At 40.0% G+C, this 25,621-nt stretch overlaps 1 protein-coding gene across 15 annotated transcripts in view, besides 2 other annotated features; it reads right to left on the bottom strand.

The window, feature by feature from the left end:
• Positions 5,320-5,489: an enhancer, noted in NCBI's record as "experimental_16818 CRE fragment used in MPRA reporter constructs". NCBI's record gives its function as "activates a minimal promoter by MPRAs in K562 erythroleukemia cells, with activity observed for the introgressed 10:70463568 variant allele {active_cell/tissue: K562}" and the evidence as "EXISTENCE:reporter gene assay evidence [ECO:0000049][PMID:34662402]".
• The window catches only part of TET1 (tet methylcytosine dioxygenase 1), a 134,151-nt gene continuing 123,257 nt past the window's right edge, over positions 14,728-25,621 (bottom strand). For all 15 annotated transcript variants that reach the window (NM_001406365.1, NM_030625.3, NM_001406373.1 and 12 more), the window contains 2 exons: positions 22,508-22,859; positions 14,728-18,407 (listed from right to left, as the gene is read on the bottom strand). In NM_001406365.1, the coding sequence (NP_001393294.1) occupies positions 17,401-18,407; positions 22,508-22,859 (1,359 nt within the window). In that variant the 3' untranslated portion in view covers positions 14,728-17,400. The remainder of the gene's footprint in view (positions 18,408-22,507; positions 22,860-25,621) is intronic.
• Positions 24,443-24,632: an enhancer, noted in NCBI's record as "active region_3468". NCBI's record gives its function as "activates an Ori minimal core promoter by ATAC-STARR-seq in GM12878 lymphoblastoid cells {active_cell/tissue: GM12878}" and the evidence as "EXISTENCE:reporter gene assay evidence [ECO:0000049][PMID:35858748]".

The raw sequence follows: 25,621 nt of genomic DNA, 5'->3' as shown, positions 1-25,621 counted from the left end.
GCAGAGGTTGCTGCAGTGAGTGGAGATAACGCCACTGAACTCCAGCCTGGGCAACAGAGCAAGACCCTGGTCTCAAAAAAAAAAAAAAAAAGAAAAGAAAAGAAAAGAAATTGTTCCATATCCAAATATAAATTGCTTCCCCTCCCCCACTTTTTTTTTTTTAACCATTGAAGTGCTTATTCTTTTGTGAATTTACCATGTGATATTTACTCAATCCAAAATAGATAGGTATTTAGGCCCCTTTTTATTCTTTTTTTTTTTTTTTTTTTTTTTTTTGGAGATGGAGTCTAGTGCAGTGTTGGGATCTTGATATCTTGATATCTTGATCTCAGCTCACTGCAACCTCCAGCTCTGGGGTTCAAGAAATTCTCCTGTCTCAGCCTCCCAAATAGCTGGAATTACAGGCCCATGCCACTATGCCTGGCTAATTTTTGTATTTTTAGTAGAGATGGGGTTTCACCATGTTGGCCAGGCTCGTCTCAAACTCCTGACCTCAGGTGATCTGCCTGCCTCGGCCTCCCAAAGTGCTGGGATTACAGGCATGAGCTACTTATTCTTCTTTACTTTCATAGGCAGTGCTGCAATAAACAACTTCGTGATTATGTGATTTCACTTGTATATAATTATATCAATAGAATACCTTCTTAAGTCTGGGAGAAGTGGCTCATGACTGTAATCCTAGCACTTTGGGAGGACGAGGTGGGAGAATTGCTTGAGGCCAAGAGTTCGAGACCAACCTTACCAACATAACAAGACCCCTCCACTGTCTCTAAAAAAAAAAAAAAAACAAACTTCTTAAAAGGATTGCTTGGTCACAGATTTCGTGCATTTATGATTTTAATAGTTACTGCCATTCTACTTCCATAAGAATTATACCAATTTATGGCTGGCTGTGGTGGTTCATGCCTATAATCCCAACACTTTGGGAGGCCAAGGCAGGCAGATCAAGAGGTCGGTAGAGTTTGAGACCAGCCTGGCCAACATGATGAAACCTCGTCTCTACTAAAAATACAAAAATTAGCTGAGCGTGGTGGCACGTGCCTATGTTATCCCATGCTTTATGGCATAACAAACCATCACAAAATTTAGTGGCTTAAAATAGTAATATCTGCTGGCTCTGTGGAATGACTGGGCTCAGCTATCTGGCTATTGCTTAAGTTCTCTCATATTCTTGTATTCACATGGCAACTGGGGCTAGAGTTACCTGATTCTAGCATGCCCAATGTTGTTTCTTTTTTTTTTTTTTTTTTTGTATTTTTAGTAGAGACAGGGTTTTGCATTGTTGGCCAGGCTGGTCTCGAACTCCTGACCTCAGGTGATCTGCCCACCTCGGCTTCCCAAAGTGCTGGGATTACAGGCATGAGCCACCGTGCCTGGCCCAGTGTTGTTTCTTAAGTCACAATCTAGCACTTCAGTACTCCATTACTCTCAGGTTCTCTTTCCCCCAGAGCAACCTGGCCTTCACTCGTAATACCTCAGGGCTCCAAAGTGAAGAAGGGAACACTGTCAACTGAGATTCCAGAAGGTGGAAGAACAGTTGCCACCACTCCATAAGGATATGTCATGCACAAAAAGAGAAGAAAGGAAAAGAGGGTGGCCATTGTTGGCATCTTAATGTAGCTATAGTATTTTTCTTACTATGCATGAAGATATCTTTTTATACTTGTAAGAGACATTTGTATTTCCTTTTCTATTAGCCAATTGTTCCTATCCTTTGTTCTATTTCCATTAGGCCACTGATCCTTATTCATTATTGAGAGCTCATTATTTTAATCTTCTGTTATACGAGCTTCAAATATATACATATATATATATATATATATATATATATATATATATTTTTTTTTTTTTTTTTTTTTTTTTTGAGACGGAGTTTGGCTGTTGTTGCCCAGCCTGGAGTGCAATGGCGCAATCTTGGCTCACTGCAATCTTCGTCTCCCAGGTTCAAGAGATTCTCCTGCCTCAGCCTCCCTAGTAGCTGGGATTAGAGGCATCCGCCACCACGCCTGGCTAATTTTGTATTTTTAGTAGAGATGAGGTTTCTCCATGTTGCTCAGGCTGGTCTCAAACTCCTGGCCTCCGGTGATCCGCCCACCTCAGCTTCCCAATGTGCTGGGATTACAGCCATGAGCCATCGCGCCTGACCGAGCTTCAAATATTTTGTTAGTTTTTGTCTTGTTTTTTTTTTTCAACTTTGATTTTGGGAAAATTTTTTGTACAGAAGGTTCCATTTTTACTATTTTTTGTTTTTTTTTACTGGACAGAGTTTCACTCTTGCTGCCTAGGCTGGAGTGCAATGGCATGATCTCAGCTCACCGCAACCTCCACCTCCTGGGTTCAAGCGATTCTCCTGCCTCAGCCTCCCGAGCAGCTGGGATTACAGGCCAACACACCTGGCTAATTTTGTATTTTTAGTAGAGACAGGGTTTCTCCATGTTGGTCAGGCTGGTCTCGAACTCCTCACCTCAGGTGATCTGCCTGCCTCGGCCTCCCGAAGTGCTGGGATTACAGGCGTGAGCCACCTTGCCCAGGCCCAGGCATTTTTGTATTATTTTAACAGAGATGGGGTTTCGCCATTGTTTGCCAGGCTGGTCTCGAACTCCTGACCTCAAGGGATCCGCTCCCCCCTGCCTCCCAATGTGCTGGGATTGCAGGCATGAGCCACCATGCCCGGCCTATTATTTATTTTTTAAATTAAAATTTTTTTTGAGACAGATTTTCACTCTGTCACCCAGGCTGAAGTACAGCGCCACTATCACAGCTCACTGCAGTCTCAACATCTCCGGCTCAAGCGATCCTCCCATCTCAGCCTCCCAAATAGCTGGGACTACAAGCTCAGCCTACCATGCCCAGCCATTTTTATTTTTTATTTTTTATTTTGAGATGGAGTCTCACAATGTTGCCCGGGCTGGAGTGCAGTGGCACAGTCCTGGCTCACTGCAACCTCCACCTCACAGGATCAAGCAATTCTCCTTGCCTCAGCCTCTGAAGTAGCTGGGATTACAGGCACCCACCACCACACTGGCTAATTTTTTTGTATTTTTAGTAGAGATGGAGTTTCACTATGTTGGCCAGGCTGGTTCGAACTCCCGACCTTGTGATCCGCCCGCCTTGGCCTCCTGAAGTGCTAGGATTACAGGCGTGAGCCACTTCCCCAGGCCTTAAGTTTTTGTAGAGATGCGATCCCACTATGTTGCCTGAAATGGTCTCGAACTCCTGGCTTCAAGCAGTCCTCCCCCCTTGCCTCACAATGTGCTGGGATTATAGGTGTAAGCCACCATGCCCAGCCCTATTATTTTTATATAGTTAAATTGGTAATTTTTTTATTTTATGCCTCTCAAATTTTGTAACATGCTTTTCCCACTCTGAAATTATAAAAAATAAATGATCCTATTGTTTCTTATACAATTTTTATGTTGCTTGTTTTTATTTAGAGATGGGATCTTGCTATGTTGCCCAGGCTGGCTGGACTTAAACTACTAGGCTAAACCAGTCCTTCTGCATCAGCCTCCTGGGTAGCTGAGACTACAGGCATGCACCCTCATGCCCAGTAACATATAATTTTTTTTTTTTGAGATGCACTCTCGCTCTGTTGCCCAAGCTGGAGTGCAGTGGTGCAATCTCAGCTCACTGCAACCTCTGCCTCCCAGATTCAAGTGATTCTCCTGCCTCAGCCTCCCGAGTACCTGGGATTATAGGCACCCGCCACCATGCCCAGCTAATTTTTTGTATTTTTTTTGATAGAGATGGGGTTTCACCATGTTGGCCAGGGTGGTCTTGAACCCCTGATCTCAGGTGATCCACCTGCCTTGGCTTCCCAAAGTGCTGAGATTACAGGTGTGGTGTCAGCCACCGCACCTAGCCAATTTTTTTGTTTTTGTTTTTGAGGCAGGGTCTCACTTTGTTACCCAGGCTGGAGTGCAGTGGCTCCATCGCAGTTCACTGCAGCCTCAACCTTCTGGGTTCAAGTGAGCCTCTCGCCTCAGTATACCAAGTCGTTTGGACCACATGTGCTTGCCATCACACCTGGCTAATTTTGTTGTATTTTTTGGAGAGACGGGGTTTGCCTACCTTGCCCAGGCTGGTCTCAAACTCTTGAGCTCAAGTGATCCACTGCCTCAGCCCCCCAAATTGGTGGGATTAGAGGCATGAGCCACCACACCTGGCCTGTAATGGAATTTTTATGAAAAGTAAACTACAGGCTGGGCGTGGTGTCTCTCGCCTGTAATCCCAGCACTTTGGGAGGCCGAGGCAGGCAGATCACCAGAGGGTGGGAGTTCGAGACCAGCCTCATCAACATGGAGAAACCCTGTCTCTACTAAAATTACAAAATCAGCCAGGCATGGTGGCGCAAGACTGTAATCCCAGCTACTCGGGAGGCTGAGGCAGGAGAATTGCTTGAACCCAGGAGGCAGAGGTTGCAGTGAGCCGAGATTGACCCATTGCACTCCAGCCTGGGCAACAAGAGCGAAACTCTGTTTCAAAAAAAAAAAAAGAAGAAGAAGAAAAGTAAACTAGAGGCCGGGCACAGTGGCTCACACCTGTAATCCCAGCACTTTGGGAGGCCTAGGTGGGTGGATCACCTGAGGTCAGGAGTTCATAACCAGCCTGGCCAATATGGTGAAACCCCATCTCTACTAAAAAATACAAAAATTAGCCAGGCTCAGTGGTGGGCACCTGTAATCCCAGCTACTCTGGAAGCTGAGGCAGGGAGAATTGCTCGAACTCGGGAGGCAGAGGTTGCAGTAAACTGAGATTGCACCACTGCACTCCAGCCTGAGTGACAGAGCAAGGATCCTCAAAAAAAAAAAAAAAAAAAAAGTAAACTACAGAACAAATAAAGATGTTGACATAATTTTTTAGCTTTCCTTAGAAATACTTTATTGAAGATAAATATTTATTTATTTTTTTTTGAGATGTATTTATTTATTTATTTTTTTGAGATGGAGTCTTGTTGTGTCACCCAGGCTAGAGTGCAGTGGCACGATCTTGGCTCACTGCAACCTCTGCCTCCCAGGTTCAAGTGATTGTCCTGCCTCAGCCTCCTCAGTAGCTGGGATTACAGGTCCATGCCACCATGCCTGGCTAATTTTATATTTTTAGTAGAGACGGGGTTTCACCATGTTGGTCAGGCTAGCCTTGAACTCCTGACCTCGTGATCTGCCCAACTCGGCCTCCCAAAGTGCTCGAATACAGGCGTGAGCCACCACGCCCAGCCGACTGTCTTTTCTTATGAGAGTTGGGATTCTGTCAGCATGCCATGGGACCTTTGGATAGCCCAGCCTCAGTAGGTAGAAAGGCTTGGCCAGATGCCATATGACTGTGCTTTTTTCACCGAGGAACATATGGAATCAATAACCTGTCTCTAGGTGAGCATGGACTAGCAAGGCCTAAACTAGTTCATTCTTATGAAATAATTTATGTGTAATAACCATGGAAAGAGAAAATACATAACATTTTACACAGATTGTATTATTATTATTATTATTTTTGAGATGGAGTCTTGCTCTTTCGCCCAGGCTGGAGTGCAAGTGGCGAGATTTCGGCTCACTGCAAGCTCCGCCTCCCGGGTTCACGCCATTCTCCTGCCTCAGCCTCACAGGTAGCTGGGACTACAGGTGCCCGCCACCATGCCCGGCTAATTTTTTGTATTTTTAGTAGAGACGGGGTTTCACCGTGTTAGCCAGGATGGTCTGGATCTCCTGACCTCGTGATCTGCCCTCCTCGGCCTCCCAAAGTGCTGAGATTACAGGCATGAACCACTGCACCTGGCCGACTTTATTATTTTTATGTGTGAGATGAAACAGAACTTTTTTTTTTTCCAGGCCGGGCATGATGGATCGTGCCTGTAATCCTAGCACTTTGGGAGGCCGAGACGGGGGGATCATGAGGTCAGGAGTTCGAGACCAGCCTGGCCAGTGTAGTGAAACCCCATCTCTACTAAAAATGCAAAAAATTAGCCAGGCTTTGTGGTGCACGCCTGTAATCCCAGCTACTTGGGAGTCTGAGGCATGAGAATCACTTGAACACAGGAGGCGGAGGTTGCAGTGAGACGAGATCAGCCATTGCAATCCAGCTTGGGTGACAGAGTGAGACTCTGACTCAAAAAAAAAAAAAAAAAAAAAAAATTACGCGCTTGTAATCCCAGTACTTCGGGAGGCCGAGGCAGGTGCTTCACCTGAGGTCAGGAGTTTGAGAACAGCCTGGCTAACATGGTGAAATACCATCTCTACTAAAAATATAAAAATTGCTGGGCGCAGTGGCTCACACCTGTAATTCCAGCACTTTGGGAGGCCGAGGCGGGCGGATCACCAGGTCAGGAGATGGAGACCATCCTGGCTAACACGGTGAAACACGTCTCTACTAAAAAATACAAAAAGCCGGGCGTGGTGGCTCACGCCGGTAATCCCAGCACTTTGGGAGGCCGAGGAGGGCAGATCACGAGGTCAGGAGATCCGGACCATCCTGGCTAACATGGTGAAACCCCGTCTCTACTAAAAATACAAAAAAAAAAAAAAAAAAAAAAATTAGCCGGGCATGGTGGCGGGCGCCTGTAGTCCCTGCTACTCGGGAGGCTGAGGCAGGAGAATGGCATGAACCCGGGAGGCGGAGCTTGCAGTGAGCCGAGATCACGCCACTGCCCTCCAGCCTGCCTGGGCGACAGAGCGAGACTCCGTCTCAAAAAATAAATAAATAAATAAATTAAATAAAATAAATAAAAAGTACAAAAAAATTAACTGGGTGTGGTGGCAGGCGTCTGTAGTCCCAGCTACTGGGGAGGCTGAGGCAGGAGAATGGTGTGAAGCCAGGAGGCAGAGCTTGCAGTGAGCCGAGATCACACCACTGCACTCTAGCCTGGGCGACAGAGTGAGACTCCGTCTCAAAAAAAAAAAAAAAAAAAAAAAAGGAAAAGAAATTTATTAACATTCAAGACAAACAGAAAAGATGATAAAAAGATGGGCAATATTCTCTTCTTGACCTGGATGGAGGTTACACAGGTTATTTGTGTTATAATTCATTAAGCTGTATATTTGTATTTTTCTGTTGGCATTATATTTCACAATTTCAAAGGTTAAAAAACCAGTTAATTTTAAATAGGACTTTCCTAATATTTGAATATGTCGTTCTGTTCTATTTCATTTTCTATAATGCTGGTCACAACTCATTCATTCACAATCATATACTGTAACTTACAGTTTAAAAAACACTGATACAGGTCAGACACAGTGGCTATGCCTATAATCTCAGCACTTTGGGAGGCCAAGGCAGGTGGATCACTTGAGGCCAGGAGTTTGAGCCCAGCCTGGCCAACACGGCAAAACCCCATCTCTATAAAAAATACAAAAATTAGCCAAGCATGGTGGCACATGCCTGCAGTCCCAGCTACTTGGGAGGCTGAGGTACAAGAGCTTGCAGTGAGCCGAGATCACCCACTGCACTCCAGCCTGGACAACAGAGCAAGACTCCATCTCAAAAAAAAAAAGTTAGCCGGGCATGGTAGTGCACACCTGTAGTCCCAGCTACTCAGGAAGCTGAGGCAGGAAAATTGCTTGAACCTGGGAGGCGGAGGTTGCAGTGAGCTGAGATCGCCCCGCTGTACTCCAGCCTGGGCGACAGAGTGAGACTCTGTCTCAGAAAAAAAAAAAAAAAGTAAAAAAAACCTTTAATATTGAAGTCTTTAAAATACTGTTGGCGTCCAGGAGCAATGGCTCACGCCTGTAATCCCAGCACTTTGGGAGACAGTGGTGGGCAGATCACTTGAGGTCAGGAGTTTAAGACCAGCTTGGCTAACATGGTGAAACCCCGTCTCTATTAAAAATACAAAAATTAGCCAGGCATGGTAGTGCACCCCTATAATCGCAGCTACTCAGGAGACTGAGGCAGGAGAATCGCTTGAACCAGGAGGAAGAGGTTGCAGAGCTGAGATCGTGCCACTGTACTCCAGCCCAGGCGACAGTGTGAGACTGTCTCAAAAAAAAAGTAAAAAAAGTAAAATATATTGGCAAACTGCATTCAGAATTAAATTTAAATTTAGCAGACTTAAGGAAAAGTATTAAGTTTATTGAAACAATTATAAAGCCAAGTAAGGACATGAGTAGAGTAACAGCTCTGCCAATTACTAGGGCTGTGAACTTAATAACTTCAAGCCTCAGAATAGATCTATGTAATGAGGCTGATAAGAGTCCTTAATAGAATCACCATGGGAATTACATAATTTACATAAAATGTAAGGTTTCTGGCACATAATGAGGATTTCACAAATGCTAGCCATTTTGGTTTTATGGTGAGCACATGCATACATTTAGTCATCTCCAAATATTAAATCTTATAGTCCTTTGTAGTTAAAATGTGTGAATTTTATTGAATATTAAAACTTTTAAATGTGATTTTTAGAAGGAAAGAAAAATTAGACTATCAGGTGCAAAATAGAAGTATAAAATTTATTTAAAACCACCCACAAAGTTCTGTGTAATCAGGAATGATACAATTTGCAATAGTTTTTTTTAAAAAAACTCATGACAAAGATTTAAAATATATTTTCAATTACAGTATTCATTTAGCCTTATTCAGTTAGGCTGAATAAAAAAAACCTTTATGCTCTAAATAAATGACACACAAGGAAAATATAACAATTTCCACAACTACCTTTACATGTATGTTTCAACACTAATACATTTCAATGCATTTTGCTACATAAACATGAAATCATGTACAACCTGCTGTGCACCAAAATTTAGCTTAATTAGATCTTTCAAGTAACATGCAATTCCAACTCACAAGTCTTCAAGTACTGCTAGTAAGTGTTCCCTTGTTTGCAGAGGATTAAATGTTGATAATGAATTGAAATTATCTTAATTAAAATGATCACTTTCTCTTCTACGTGGTGAAGTGCTTTTTCTTTTACTGCTTCCCCCATATGTTAAGAATGAAATTGGATATTTGTGAAGTTTTAAAAGTGTTTCCTTGCTAAGATATTTCATTGTACAGGATACTTAAGATAGTAGGATGGCAATAGGTAAAAATCCCCCAAATCAAAAATTCAAAGGTAAATAATAAATAGTAAATATATCCTGAAGAGAGAAAGAAGTCAGCTAAAAGATAGGAATATTAGCTTATGAAATTAGTATTTCTGTATTGGGAATTCAGTATTATTCTATTTCACCATGGTAAAGAATCTGTGTATATTTTACTCCCACCAATGATAAACATTCTGGCTTCTCCTTTGAATTAAGGTAATGGTATGCAAGTGAATTTACTTGGTAATTAAGCGTATAGCATGAGAAAAAAAATAAATAAACTAGAAGTTAATGATTTTCTTCCTGCCAAATAGCTTTGCAAGTTTCTTGTTAGGGAACACTTCATGATTTCTTAATAACCTAACTAAATATGACCATCCACCCACACATCACAATGTAAAAACTGCCCTTAGTTTATACTATAAACCACTTCTGGAAAAATATTTTTCTTAAAGCACCTATCACAATGTTATTTCATAAAAGTTAAAAAAAATATGAACATATATTGCAATAAAATATTTAATTTTTTTCAGGAGCTATTTTTGTAAAGTCCCGGTTGTCAACTATTTCATCATCACAAACAAGCATTGATGAGGATAGGCAGTTACTGAACTGAATCACCATTACTGAACTGAATCACCAAAAGGGGAATTTATTTGACTATCTAGAGTGTTTGGCCTGTTTGTGTGTGTGTGTGTATGACCCAGAATGTGCTAATTAGCCAAAACATCCTACCTCTTTATATTTATAAACGTATTTATAAAGAGGTTATTTTAAAATTTTACAAATACATCTCATTTTTCATTATGTAAAAATTTACAAATACATCTTATTATTTTTCTTAACTGTCTGAGCAAATCTCTGGGTCAAGACCCACAGATTTTACGTGGCAAGAATCAAAGCAAAGCAAACAAAACAAAACGAATTCAATTAAGTGGGAGACACTACTATCTCTTAGAGAGGGAGTCTTGCTCTGTCTTAGAGATGCCAACAATTTTGCTTTTTTTTTTTTTTTGAGATGGAGTCTCACTCTGTCACCCAGGCTGGAGTCCAGTGGCACAATCTCGGCTCAATGCAACCTCCGCCTCCTGGGTTCAAGCAATTCTCTGCCTCAGCCTACCAAGTAGCTGGGGTTACAGGCGTCTGCCACCATGCCCGGCTAATTTTTGTATTTTTAGTAGAGACGGGGATTTCACCATCTAGGCCAGGCTGGTCTTGAACTCCTGACCTCGTGATCCACCCGCCTTGGTCTCCCAAAGTGCTGGGATTACAGGCGTGAGCCACCACACCAGGCCCAATTTTGCATTTTAACGATCAGGAGTTGGGAACTAAAATGTTTACCTACCATGTTTCCTTCAAAAAACCCTGCATTTCAATATGACAAATACATTAAATTTTGATTGTGAGGTGCTCACCCTAGCTTTTTAAAAAAGTAATATTAAAAAATATATTATTTAGGAGATTTCCCCGTTTTAGTATTACATGGATATTCTTTATAAAAAGAGCTTTTTATAAGGAGGAAAAAATATAAAACTTCATAAATCTAAGCCCTATTGTGGAATTTAGGTAATTTGGGAGACCTTCTTTAGTACCCATAAGAAACTAGCTGGCTAAATAAATAATGGAAACAAAATATTTCAGAAGCATGTTTTGCAAATGAACAAATTTTATATTCTCAGATCAGGTGTGACAAAATTTCTGCTCAGCAACATTCTCTCCAAGTCATTGTTCATGATGCAGAAATTTAGCAGTCTACAGGTAATAAATATTTTAGTCTCCGATTGATTGACTTGCTGTGTGACTTGGAGCCAGCCATATGCTATTCTTGCCATCTGTAGGTTCCTCACCTCTAAGATGGGAACAGTGTTCTCCATCTAACCCTCAGTAACGGGCAGAAAACGCTCCACATAGTAAAGCAGTTGGTAATCTAAAACATTATATAGCATGAGGATTATACCTTTGATTACTACCGTTGCTTTCAAAATGGCTCCTAAGTTTCAGCAGCAATTTTTCAGATAAAATTAGTACAGAGTAGAGAGAAGAAATATTAAAAATATTTCTTGCTTTTAAGCAGGTAGAGCGAACCCTCAGATTGCTGATAGGAGCACAGTTCTTCCGTTCTGTCCCTTAATTTCCCCTTCTTATGGTCAAAAGCGTTTCTGATGGTTTACTTGTGCCTCCTCTTTCAATTACTTTCAGTTCATTTCCTAATATTTCTCACACAGATTACAGAATAATTCCTATTACTGCCAAAAACCAAAGAATTCCAATGGAGTAAATTTACATTAGAAATAGTAAAGCCATACAGAAGAACTTAGAATATTTAACTTTGTACACAAATAAAACACTCAAACACTAATAAATAAGAGTTAAACATTGTTGGGATTGGTAAAGTGAGAGAGAGCACTCAATATTAACCTGTGGTCTTGTGACTGCTTAACTATTATTCCTAAAAATGGAATTTGCCTAAAACTGAAAAGAGTTGAATACAAGTTTGTGATTTCTTATGATGTTACACCTAAAAGAACTTGCAGGACACAATGGAAAAGACAGCTTTACCAGGATGGTTGCTATTTTTTAAATGAACCATGTGTATTTGTGTAGGGGATCAGAGGAATGCAGACAGGACAGAGAAGGGGAAGCAATAGATTTTTAATTTAAAGAAAATGAGAAGAAAAATAACACTGTAAAAAGAATGAAAGTGCGCTTAGTGATATTGCAGCTTCAGTAAAATGAGAAAAAAGAAAAATAACAAGTAGAGTTTCTAGTCAAGGTTCATACCTTGCCAAATGGAGAAGAAACCAAATTAATTTCCAATATTGTTTCTCCTAAAATGAAAATCTGACAGCTGCAAAATTTCTTTCTCATGAACAAGACAAGGGTCATGACTTACATAACAGCTGCCAAGGACAAAATTTCTATTTTTAGGAAAGCTAGCTTTACACTGTTAACCAAGGGTTTTCAAAGTTGCATTCAAACATAAATGGGTTAAATCAGCTAACATGTTTTACATCTAATAATGACATTCCTACCTTGGACCTAGTTTTGCTCCAACATAAAGGTCATCTATAGCTGAACAAACTAAAAGAAAACCTATGACCCAAGCAAGATCATAAGTATTACAGTAAAGGTAGGAAAGAAGTATAGCTGATAAAGAAGTGATTGGCGGGGTGCGGTGGCTCACGCCTGTAATCCCAGCACTTTGAGAGGCCGAGGCGGGCAGATCGTTTGAGGTCAGGAGTTTGAGACCAGCTTGACCTACATAGTGAAATCCTGTCTCTACTAAAATACAAAAATTAGCCGGGCGTGTTGGCGGGCACCTGTAATCCCAGCTACTTGGGAAGCTGAGGTAGGAGAATCACTTGAACTCGGGAGGCGGAGGTTGCAGTGAGCTGAGGTCACACCACCGCACTCCAGCCTGGGCGACAGAGCAAGACTCCGTCTCAAAAAAAGAAAAAAAAAAAGAAAAAAAGAAATAATTAATGATGGAACTTTAGAGCTAGAAATATTGAATGTTGCATACTACCAAATGAGAAATTAGAACATACTATAAGGCCCTTAAAGAGAAGCGAAAATGAGGAGTGGCAAAATTAGGAATACCTTTGGATTACTAGAGAGAGTATAATATATCCCTTTTGAAGCAAACAATGGTATATGATTGGAAGCCCAGAAGAAATAGGGAATTAAAAAGTCATCCAGACACTGAAAGGTAGAGAATTAAAATTTGTACCAAAAAAATAATAATAAAATTTGTAGCTATCAATGCAGACAAAAATAGTGATGATATCCTGCATAAAAGTCAGCTCTACCATCTCAGGAAGTAATAAAGGAACTCAGTTTCCCCTTTATACATATAGGAAAAGCAAGAACATTTCAATAAATCTCAATACATTCTATGAAAACACACAAATTTAATTTCTGATGGACATACTGAGTCTGACTTTCTGAACTGCATTCCAGAGCAATGGATGACATCATTTTCTAAAGCTGTTAAGAGGTAGCTCAACATGGAGCATAATTTGATTTGGATAAATCCAGACTCCTTCAGCAATTACGTATTGATTACATTCACTTGGTTGAGTGTGCCACACAACTGGTGTTCAATATACTTATGGGCAAGTTTAGAAGCTATGTGCAATAAAATAGTATTCCAATACATGTAGACAGCTACATCAAAATAAACTATGCTGGGGCTTAATTGTGAGGCTAACTAGGCAAAGGGCATGAATGAACTTTGTAAGCATGGCTAGGTAGTATATACAGTGGAAATACACTTTCCTTAATTATTTCAATCATCCATGCCTTTATAACTTCTTGTATATGCTTAACACTAGTTCCAGGGGAATTGAAAGCCTATACTTTATAAGCATCTGATACTTGTTTATTTCCCAGTGATAAAATACCCTTTGGGTAAGAAAATCAAGTTTCCCTACAGTTCTCAACACAAAGTGGCCTTCATCTATTTAAATTCTAATTACAATCTAGCATTAAGATCTGCTCTCTGGGCCCCAGTGATTGAGCTCTGTGATTTCTCAGGTGTCTTCCATTGCTATGAGAGGCCACTACTATATGAACTTATTTCAAAATTCTCTTGTCATAAATCTCTATAAAAGATCAAAACTCACAGTTGTATTAAATCTAGATAAAAAAGATTTCCATGCATCAAGGTGTGAAATTGAAGGTAGTAGCTATAAATCTATTAAAGTTTGCATACAGCTACTGATTTAGTTGGCACATGCGAAGGAAATGCTGTGCCCCTGTCAGTGGAAGTTTCGTGCAATAAAGTCCTATGTCCCAGATAAAAAGTCAATATAATTTTTGTTTTAAAAACTGGTTCAGGGTTATTTTCACACACGCTATTGTGAAATGTTATCAGTAGAAATCCACTGTAATAATGTTAGAAAGTAGGTTAGTCATGTGAATTAAATCAGTAGCTTATTTACACAAGGGTATGCATTCAATTAAATATGTATTGAGTTTATGTCTTAAGTAAATTACTTATGGATCTCATCTAGTTGAAGTTCTATATTTAATAAATGAAATTATCAACATGCAGACTGAGTAACAAAGATGTTGGAAAGTTATTTAAGATGTAAACATGTTGCAATAATTTGCCTACAGCTATGCCTTTTCAGATAGCCTCACTTTCCAATAAGAATGTATTTCAATTATGTTTATGACCTGGTCTATTTGGTACTTTGTAGATGAATTGGAAACAAGAGGTAGGTGAGACAGACAAGCACAAGAAAAAAAAGAAATTTCAACAATGGCTGAAGAGCCATTAGAAATGGAATTTCAGGCCAGGTGGAGTGGCTCATGCCTATCATCCTTGCACTTTAGGAGGCTGAAGCAGGAGGATCTCTTGGGGCCAAGAGTTTGAGACCAGCCTGGGCAACATAGTGAGACAGTCTCTACAAAAAAAAAAAAAAAAAGAAGAAAAAAGAAAAAAGAAATGGAATATCAAGGGCAGCATGATATTTTGTACGATTCTGCAATAGGCAGGAATTATTCTCTCATTAAAATTGGTAAGTTTGTAGCATATTATGAACTGAGTGGGCTATTAGGAGGTCATGTATCAGTGAATTCAATGATCATACTATGAACAAACGCAGATTTAAAACCCAATTTAAGTGTTATAAGAGAGGTATAAGAAAAGGTGATCATTACAGTAAAACATAATAGAGGGGTAGAAATAATGTTAGATGACCAGTTTTATGAGAGAAAATGTCATTTCAAACAAATTTATTTCCTTGCTTCATGAGAAAGAGCATTCTAAAAGCAGTGTAGCCAGCATACAATCACAATGCTGCAGAACATTGAATAAGCTTTTAAAAAAAATCACAGGGCAGAGAATGGGATGGTAAATTGTTAAAATCAGGAAAGAGAGTCCAACAAAGTAGGAATCCAATTTGGTTCCCACAGTGGGGTAATCAGCTTAAGAAGTCCATTCATGATGTTAACTACAACAACGGAATGGAAACATTTCAGTTGATACTATATATTTTCAAATACTTGTTTTGGTAAACTGCAACAAGCGTCACAAATCCCAATAGTTCCAAAAATTAACATTGATGTTTCAAGTTTAGATTGTTAAGAAACCTATTGAGAGAGAGATCAATTTGAATTACTGCATACATTACCATGGATTATACTGAAGATAATTTGCTACTTCTTTTAAAAATATTTCTGAGGGTAGTTTTTATTCTTCAAGTTTACTATGTCATAGGTGGTGATCCAAAGAAAAATAAAAGTGATACTTAGATTTTGCAGGCATTCAATAAGTGTAGACTCGAAGAATGAGTAGATGAGTGGATGCATAAAGAGCCATAAAACTTTATCCATTAAATCTGGTGAAGAAATAATTTCTAGTGGGAGCTAAGGCCTAAAATCTAAAACATAATCTCGCAAGGGTGTATTCCTGATAGTCTAATACTAGTAAATATCTTGTTGAAGCAGCTGAAGCAATAAACAATCACTTATTTATATACTTATATGTATATAAGAAACCTTAGGCTCACAAAAATATACATGTCTTAAAACGGAAATCTAAGGCACACAAAATACTAAAACAAGTCAATGAATTACCCTATTTTACATATTCAACAAGCAGAAATCTACTTGTACACGATGGTCTATCAATGGACATTTTGTTTTTTACAATCCCTTCATATTCCTTTACTTGGATTAGTCAAAAGCTCAAAACAGATACTTTGCACCAGATATTATTTTAATAAGTTACAATGAGTTTTTCTTTAGAGAGCCTGCTGGAACTGTTTGCTTTTGCACCAAAATTGTAAGTGTTAGCGGTTGTGGGCTTCCTATGGCATTTCCAAGGGAGAAGCACCATTAGGTTTTCCATACTCCCAAGGAATCTGACACTTTGAATGTTATAGCACCTCTGCATTTTAACAGAATCAAGTATTTCATTGAAAATTCTCCTTGTTCGAAACATGTTGTTTGGGTAATCCTTTTTGTTTTGCAATAAAATGAGTCAATAAAGTAATAGGAAGAAAATGGGAAGACTAAAATAAACTTAATGCCTGTTTTCCTGTTACCTAGAACATAGGCAATTATCAGAAAAGATGAGTTATCATTTTCCCAAATCTAGTATGCTAAGATAAACAAATGAATTAGCTCTTAATGGACAAAGCCATGTTTGTAGTACCATTCCTCTTGTTTTTGACTTGGGGTTGGGGAGGCATGTGATGATAGTAGGGAATTTGTTTTCAAAATATTTCAACAAGAATTTTTTTTTTCTAATTCTGTATCAGACTTCAGTACAAATATCTGTCTACTTAGTTTTTGTATTTTATCACCTTGAGACATTAGAAGCATTTGACTCTTCTGAAACCTATCCTGTTCCCTCATCTCCTTTTGGAAACACCTCTCATGGATTATACTGAGAAAGGTGGGATGAAACTAAATTGAGGTTGTTCAATAAGAAGAGACCACTCTTACCTAGTTCCAAAGAGAATGTTAATCAGTATTGGTGATATGCTTCCTAATTCCAATTTTAGAGATAATTAACAACTTCTCATTATCTAACTATTTTATATACTGCAAGTTGCTAATACTTGAATGTGAGAGGACACAGTAAAAGAACACAAACCATATACATGATTAGAATACATACTGCAGTTAACAAGATGGAACTCTACACAGCAAGGATAAATGATTTCTCTTGTATGCAAATATGCACAAACAATAGACAATAGGATTCTTATACTATATTATTTCAAGTTACTTTTAAAAATAGAAAGTGCTTTTAAAATATATATTTACAATTTATGAACAGCCTCCAACCATTACTAACAACAATGATTTATTTTACACAGGAGAAATATTTTAAGAGAGAAAACATTTCATAAGTTTATTTCAAAGGAATATGCCAATTTTCTAGCAATGATTGGAAGATGTTGGAACAATGGCACCATGAAATAATAATTCAGCTTATTTTTAACTGTGTGGATGTGGTTAAGCACCAGAAGCTGTGTAGAGTTAACACTGTGTGTCTTGATTTTACATCATAGAACATGAACCTGTTAAAATCCTCTAAAAATGACTCTTGTTTCATAGTAAACAGACTTAATTTAAAGCACCAAACTGAGTGATTCTATCAAGGTTAATGCCTAACTGAAACATTTCTTTATGTATTTAAAACTATAAAACTTTTATTTTTGCTTAAAATGTGCACCTTCTACCAATTGTCAAAATATAGTCACAGTTAAGAATACCCACCCCGTTTTGTTATCATTATTATTTTTTTACCTCAGACTTGAAATGGGTGAGATGAAGATAGTAAACGACAACATGACTTTCTTTTAACAGCACCTTGAAAAAATACACTGCACTAGCAAAGGCATTAAGAGGGGGAGAAAAGCCTTCAGACCCAATGGTTATAGGGCCCCGCAACGTGTGTGAGAGCATAAGGGGACACGGTGACAACATTGTCATGGGTTAATGTTAATGCTTTATGAGAAGGAATTTGGTTCAATTCATTTACTTCAGAGGACTGTTCTGGACCTTCATTAGCTGCCTGGTCTTTTTGCTCTGAGGCCTTCATTTTCTTATTCTTAGCTTCTTTAGCCTCAAACTTAATCTTGTTTAGTTCAAAACCATGTTGGGGCTTATTTAGGTTTTTGTGCTGGTAAAAGACAAGGGAGAGGCGGGTTGGATGATTACGGTTGGGGTGCTCAACAGGAGTGGTAGCGTGCAGCTCTCGCCGGGCACACTCAATCAAAACCGAGCCGTGAGCAGGTGCGATGGCCACCCCACCAATATTTGCATCCAAAAAGATGTGCTCACTGTCTGACCAATACTCATCAATGTGGGGCAATTTCTCCTCAGCAGGTGACAGGGGGTCATCAGATAGGGGTTCGTCTGATGGAGGCTCATCTGCTTCAGAATGCTGCTCATCTTCTTCCATTGGAGAAGAGGCAAGGTCTTGAGGAGAGGTGAGGAAGGAGGGCTGGTGGTTTGGCTGATGAGGCGTTAGCGGCTCAGTCACACCAGTGGAAGGCTCAGAATTAATGAGGGGCTCCATCACAGGAGCAGACAGGGTGGGGAGAGGAGCCACTTCGCCAAGCTGTGAAATGCCAGGGCCATCAGCAGCAGCTGCATTGGCACCACTGAGTCTTCCCGAAGGCATCGTACAGTGGGGAGTGCTGCTTCTTTCTGAAAACCCGCATGAGGCTGTTGCGTCATTCTTCAGTGGAGCTGGTGTGGCTGAAGCAGTCTTCGGGGACCAGGAGAAGCCTGGAGATGCCTCTTTCACTGGGTGAGGAGCGGATGGCATCAGCGAATAAGTTTTAGTGTTGTCTGAACTTTTTAAGATAAAATGGGGTTCGGTTTCACTTTTTACTTCAGGTTGCACGGTCTCAGTGTTACTCCCTAAACAAGGACACCAAATGTGAAGAAAAATACAAATTACTTTTGGTAGGGGTTGCCTTTTAAAAAGTATTTTCAAAGACAAGTACAAAGAATTATATAAGAAAACGCTGATGTTGTGTTGGTTGGTTTTGTTCTGTTCATTTCAAATCACAAACACGAATTAAAAATTTTATGTAGTTTTGTATAATTTTTCATCTAATAATTTTTATTTTTATGTTTTTTTTGGAGACGGAGTCTCGCTCTGTCCCCCAGGCTGGAGTGCAGTGGCACGATCTCGGCTCATGCCATTCTCTTGCCTCAACCTCCCGAGTAGCTGGGACTACAGGCGCCTGCCACCACGCCTGGCTAATTTTTTGTATTTTTTAGTAGAGACAGGGTTTCACCGTGTTAGCCAGGATGGTCTCGATCTCCTGACCTCATGATCCACCCACCTCGGCCTCCCAAAGTGCTGGGATTACAGGCTTGAGCTACTGCGCCCGGCCATAATTTTCTTTAAAGAACTCTTCCTTTGGGAAAGAGGCATAAATAAGTGCAAAAATCTAGCCAAAAGGATGGCTGTTCATTGTTTGAAATAGTAAAATATTAGAATTGAACTAATTAGGTAGGAAGTAAGTAATACAACTAAATGTTGTAATATTGTGCAGGTATTGTAATACAATCACATACAGCAATATTTAACTATTCAAAGATATTTAGATACGTTTTAGGCATTGTATGACCCTATATTTTAAAAAGTAAAAACAAGTAATAGTTTATAAATATTTCTAGGTAACAAAACATCTTAACTGGCAAAGTCCAAGGTTAGGCAGAGGGAAGTCAAGCAAAATATTGTACTTGAATATAAATCTTTGTGACCCTCAAAAGCAAGAGTATTTCAGCTTAGTTTCCTTCTCATTAAGGAAGGAGATCATTACTCTCAAGATGTCAACTGTGGGTTATTTGCTCTGACACATCCACATAAATCTCACATCCAATGGGAACATTTTCCTTGAGGACATTCTCCCTGTTATGAAGTTCTTTTTTTTTTTTGAGATGGAGTCTCGCTCTGTTGCCCAGGCTGGAGTGCAGTGGTGCGATCCTGGCTCACTGCAATTTCTGCCTCCCAGGTTCAAGCGATTCCCCCGCCTCAGCCTCCCGAGTAGCTGGGACTACAAGCGCACACCACCACCACACCCAGCTAATTTTTTGTATTTTAGTAGAGACGGGGTTTCACCATGTTGGCCAGGATGGTCTCAATCTCCACCACGCCTGGCTAATTTTTTGTATTTTAGTAGAGACGGGGTTTCACCATGTTGACCAGGATGGTCTTGAACTCCTGACCTCATGATCCGCCCGCCTCTGCCTCCCAAAGTGATGGGATTACAGGCATGAGCCACCACGCCTAGCCCCTGTTGTGAACTTCTAAAAAACTATTTGGAAGTGCAAAACCAGCAAATCTTAGGACCAAGAAAAGGTAAAGCAGCCATGTTTTAAAGTAATTAAAAATATAATAAATTGATAATATAATACATAATGATCAATTTCAGAAGCTCTGCAGTTCTCCTCTCAGATGCTACAACCTGGAGCCTTGAGAGCTCTCATTTCTAAAGATAACGCATACATAAGACCCAGAAATGGTACATCAGGAAACCTCTATTGTTATCAGTGGCACTATTATTATAGAGGTTAAGTTGTCCACAGAAGGTAAATGATGGGAAGGAAAGACTAAATGACTGAGGGGTAGAATTACAAAAGGACATTATGGCCCAAGTATTGTACATTATGCTTACAAATATCTGGGAATATACATTTCTTCTCAGTATTTCTCTGTATTATTGCATTTCTTTCAGCATTATATAAATGCCTGCACTGCCAACTCTGCTCATGTTATAAAAACAAATAAACAGCTTCTCATAAATGTAAAAATGAAAGAAGCTAAGGAATACATTATAATGTTAATTTTGAGTGTCAGTATGAATTCATGATTTTTTTTTCCTTCTATAGGCTCATCAAAGAAATGGCTGATTTTAAATATGGGGCAGAATTATATAGATAAGCCTGGAACAACTTGTTATAGAAGTTAAGAAAGTAGGCCGGGCACGGTGGCTCACGCCTGTAATCCCAGCACTTTGGGAGGCTGAGGCGGGCAGATCACGAGGTCAGGAGATCGAGACCATCCTGGCTAACACGGTGAAACCCCATCTCTACTAAAAATATATAAAAAAAATTAGCCAGGCGTGGTGGCGGGTGCCTGTAGTCCCAGCTACTCGGGAGGTTGAGGCAGGAGAATGGCGTGAACCCGGGAGGCACAACTTGCAGTGAGCTGAGATTGCGCCACTGCACTCCAGCCTGGGAGACAGAGCGAGACTCTGTCTCAAAAAAAAAAAAAAAAAAAAAAGCTATCAAAAGACAATTGAGGTTGTGACAAAAGAACTGAGAAGCCAGCCGGGCGTGGTGGCTCTCACCACTTTGTGAGGCCGAGGCGGGTGGATCACTTGAGGTCAGGAGTTTGAGACCAGTTTGGCCAACATGGTGAAACTCCGTCTCAACTAAAAATACAAAAATTAACTGGGCGTGGTGGCGGGCACCTGTAATCCCAGCTACTCGGGAGGCTGAGGCAGGAGAATCGCTTGAATCAAGGAGGTGGAGGGTTACAGTGAGCCAAGATGGTGCCACTGTACTCCAGCCTGGGTGACAGAGTGAGACTCTGACTCAAAATATATATTAGGCGAAAAGCTGGTAAGAGCCAGGTGTGGTGCACGCCTATAGTTCTAGCTGCTAGAGAGGTTCCCATGGGATCCCAGAGTTTGAGGCAGCAGTGTGCTATGATTGTGTCTGTGAATAGCCATTGTACTCCAGCTTTGGCAACATAGCAAGACTCTGTCTTTTAAAAAAAACCCCAAAACCCAAAACCCAAAACCAAAACTAACGAGACTTTATAATCAACAAATCAAGCCAGGTGTGATGGCTCATGCCTGTAATTACACCAATTTGGGAGAATCATTTGAGTCCAGGAGTTCCAGATCAGCCTGGCAAACAGGTGAAACCCTATCTCTATAAAAAATACAATAATTAGCTAGACACAGTGGCACACACACTACAGTCTCAGCTACTTGGGAGGCTGAGGTGGGAGGATTGCTTGAGCCTGGAAGGTTGAGGCTGTGGTGAGCCATGATCACGCCACTGCATGCACTCCAGAGCCTGGGCAAGAGAGCTAGATCTTGTCTCCACAAACAAAAACAAAATAACAAAGAAACAAAACAAAAACAACAACGACAACCCACAATACCACTGTTGAAAGTGGTGTTTAGTAATATTTATTTAATTATTGCTTAAATTGATGGTAAAGGTGACCAAGGAAGGCATCCCGAAAGTCATGTCTCTTATCTATGCCAACAACGAGTAGGGCTTCGAATTAGATGGGGAAATTCACAGGAACAATGATAAGAACATGTTAAAATTAGCTGGGCACAGTGCTGTGTGCCTGTAGTTCCAGCTACTCTGGAGGAGGCTGAGGTGGGATTATTGCTTAAGCCAAGGCGTGCCAAGCCAGCCTGGGCAATAAAGTGAGACCCCTCCCCATGCCATAAAAAAAGAATATGTTAAAGTATAAAAAAGGATAAGTAGGCCGGGCGCGGTGGCTCACACCTGTAATCCCAGCACTTTGGGAGGCCAAGGCGGGGGCGGGGGGGCGGGGGCGGATCAAGAGGTCAGGAGATCGAGACCATCCTGCCTAACACGGTGAAACCCCGTCTCTACTAAAAATACAAAAAATTAGCTGGGCGTGGTGGCGGGCGCCTGTGGTCCCAGCTAAGCAGGACGCTGAGGCAGGAGAATGGCGTGAACCCAGGAGGCAGAGCTTGCAGTGAGCCAAGATTGCGCCACTGCACTCCAGCCTGGGTGACAGAGCAAGACTCCCTCTCAAAAAAAAAAAAAAGGATAAGTCGAAAAAGTTACCAAGAAATACTGATGGGTCACTTTTTTGTTGACTTTTGGTTCTGGTATATGTAAAAATATATTCAGTGTCTTAGTTTTAACTCTAAACAAATAAGGCAAGGCAAAGTCCAAACACATCTATCCATCAAAGTTGTGCAGAGATTACCAGGTTCCATAGGGCTCACCTAAGGTTGGCAGTGACGAAGGCTTACTGTTGTTTGTTGTTGTTGAGTTATTCTTCCGCTTGATTCGGGGAATAGGTTTCTTTTCCACTGCCCTTATCTTATGTGCAAGAACCTCTGTCATCATCGCAGCCCTCTTCTTTCCAGAACGGGGAACAGGCTGAGTGAAACACGTTCTTTTTTTGCGGCGGGGTGCCAGGACCTCGATGGCCCCAGATTTGATCTTGGCTTCCATTCCTTCCTTGGAGCCAAACTCATCTGTGTCTGAAAGCTTATAAAGAGGTAGCACATGGAGCTGCTCATCTTGAGGAATAACACCCAAAGAGCGGTTATCTTCTCGAGTTAAGGTACAAACCTGATAGGGAGAAAAACATGAAATGGGAAAGATATACGGGTCGTGCACATTCATTGTGGCTATTCCTACCTTCGTGTTGTTGCCTTTGGGAAAGAGATTTGTATTCCCATTTTATTTTCAATTGGTTGCTGATGGTATATTATTATTTTATATCAAGCCACCCAACTCTGTTCAATCATAGTAACTTCCCAGTTGTTTGTAGGCAGACCAGAATAATATTTAATTTTCTAAGTAAATATAACGTTATAAAATACTTACGTATTTTTGATACTAAACATTCTTGTTACATTTCATCTTACTTCATTGCCTAAATTAAGGAATGGCTATTGAACTATGTTTATTGTGTTCATATTAAGTATAACTTATTAGGAAGATATGATTTTAGCTCACATAGCACCATATTTCTGATATTTCAAGAATGTCACATTCCTTGGATAGCAGGGACATAATTGATTTCTCTTTCCAGAAAGACTTATACGCTAACAGTTAAAAAAAATTTTTTTTTAATTTTATATTGATAAATATTCTCTTTCTGTTCTATTACTGCTCTATTCCAGTGAGGAGCCATATCAATAAATATCAATAAATTTGCCTTTCTTTGGATATGAAATACTAATAGCCAACTTTTTTCATCTTAAATGCAACCTATTTTAGCCCTCCTCCTTACATTAAAGGTTATATTTATTATGGAGAAATGAAAATACAGAACTATAGGCACTATAGTGATTCCTGACTTTTGATACCTAATATTAATATTCTGCTTTAAAAACTAACATTTTATTATAAAACTAATATTTTAATTGTAATTAATTTTCCTCAAGTGATCTACCCACCTTGGCCTCCCTAAGTGCTGGGATTACAGGTGTGAGCCACTGGGCCCAGCCAAATTAATTTTCAAATATTAAAAATCCAACAGAAACCTATAAAATGTTTTATTTATTTAATAATAAAAACATATATCCCGGAGCTGTAAACCCTTTCAGTGATAGCGAAGACTGGAGATAAATGAAATAAACAGATTTGATTTCCAAAGCATTTTTGTATTCATGGTAGAACTTGATAGATACCAAGGTAAAGCAAAGTTAAAGGTTAAAAAAATTCATTTTTTTCAATATCTGTAGTCACATTTTTCAGCAAAGTCTAAAATATAAATATATGTTTCAGCCTCAAACTCCTGGGTTTGAGTGTTTCTCCTGCCTCAGTCTCTCGAGTAGCTGGGAGTACAGTTGTGTACCATCACGCATAGCTAATTTTGTTTTTAATTGTAGAGACAGGGTCTCACAAAGTTGCCCAGGCTACACTCAAGATCCTGGGTTCAAGCAATCCTTCCACCTCAGCATCCCAAAGTGCTGGGATTACAGGCATGAGCCATGGTGCCTGGAGAAAGCCTGCAATATTAAACTGTCATGGTGGTAATCTGTTCATAACTAATAATAGTCATGCTGAAAATCAGAATGTCACATCAATAAATGTTTACTGGAACCAATTTAATTGGTCACAGAGAGACTAAGAAGGACATAAGGAGTTGACATGAGGAGCATAATTAGAAAGTAAACCAATAAGGAGTAGAGAGTAAACCAATAAAAAAAATAAAAAAAATAGAAATTATGGTAAAACAGGGTGAAGGGAGAGGTAGTGGTAGAATTTCAAGAGTTCACATGTTTGAAGATGGGGGAATTTGGAGTGATGTCAAGTTCCGGATAAGACCCTCATTGAGTGAGTAATCCGGGCCCTGGAAGTCAAAGAGCGCAGAGAAGAGAAACTGAAACTTAGCTTGACTCTGAACTGACTTCAGCCTGATCACAGATATTCTGTAATTCAGGTAAAATGTCCTGGCCAAGTGATGGTGATGAACCACTGCCTGGCTAGTATTTACCAGGCTGGATTTATATAACTTCAACACTTAGAAATAACATTGGTCTCAAAGACTCTGCAAAACATTTTTGTATACAGGAATGATACGCAAAAAAAAAAAAAAAAGTTGTTGTGGCTTAATCTATCACCAATACTCTTCTACTGACCAAGCAAGGAAGAAAGACTGCCTGTTGATAGATCTGATCATATACTTTCAATCACACTGTAAGAGGCTGTAGCTAAACCTAAAAAAAATTATTTTTTAAAAATTGTATATTTTAAAGAGACGGGGTCTTATTGCCCAGGCTGGTCTAGAACTCCCGGGGCTCAAGCAATCCTCCTATCTTGGCCTCCGAAGTAGGTGGGATTACAGACATGAGCCAACATGCTCATCCTGCAGCCAAGACTTAATGAAGGTTTTAGAATTCTCTGGCAAACCTAAAAAACTGGTGCAGCAGAAAAACAAAAGCAATTGCTCTCTATTGATCTTGCTTTACTAGATGACAGGAAGACAAACAGGTGAAGCAAACAGACAAAAATACTATTTCAAGATTTTCCACTGGGTCTTCTGCCTAATTTACGTATTTCTTAATTGACTTCAGGCGATGGACATGTGATGATTTACATAACTATAAACATAGTAGGCATACCAGAATGCAAATATTGCTGATAATTGGCACAGTTGCCTCACAAAAACCCTGAAGTGCAGATGGCAAAAACAAATATCAAGTAACATGCTCAACTTCATACCTACTAGTTTGATAGCAGAGAATTGTTACTTTAAAAAATTGGCCGAGCGCGTTGGCTCACACCTGTAATCCCAGCACTTTGGGAGGCCAAGGTGGGCGGATCACGAGGTCATGAGATCAAGACCATCCTGGCTAACACGGTGAAACCCCATCTCTACT

Source organism: Homo sapiens, chromosome 10, assembly GCF_000001405.40.
Source record: "Homo sapiens chromosome 10, GRCh38.p14 Primary Assembly".
Lineage (NCBI taxonomy): Eukaryota > Metazoa > Chordata > Mammalia > Primates > Hominidae > Homo > Homo sapiens.
This window is presented reverse-complemented; position numbering and strand designations above follow the sequence as displayed.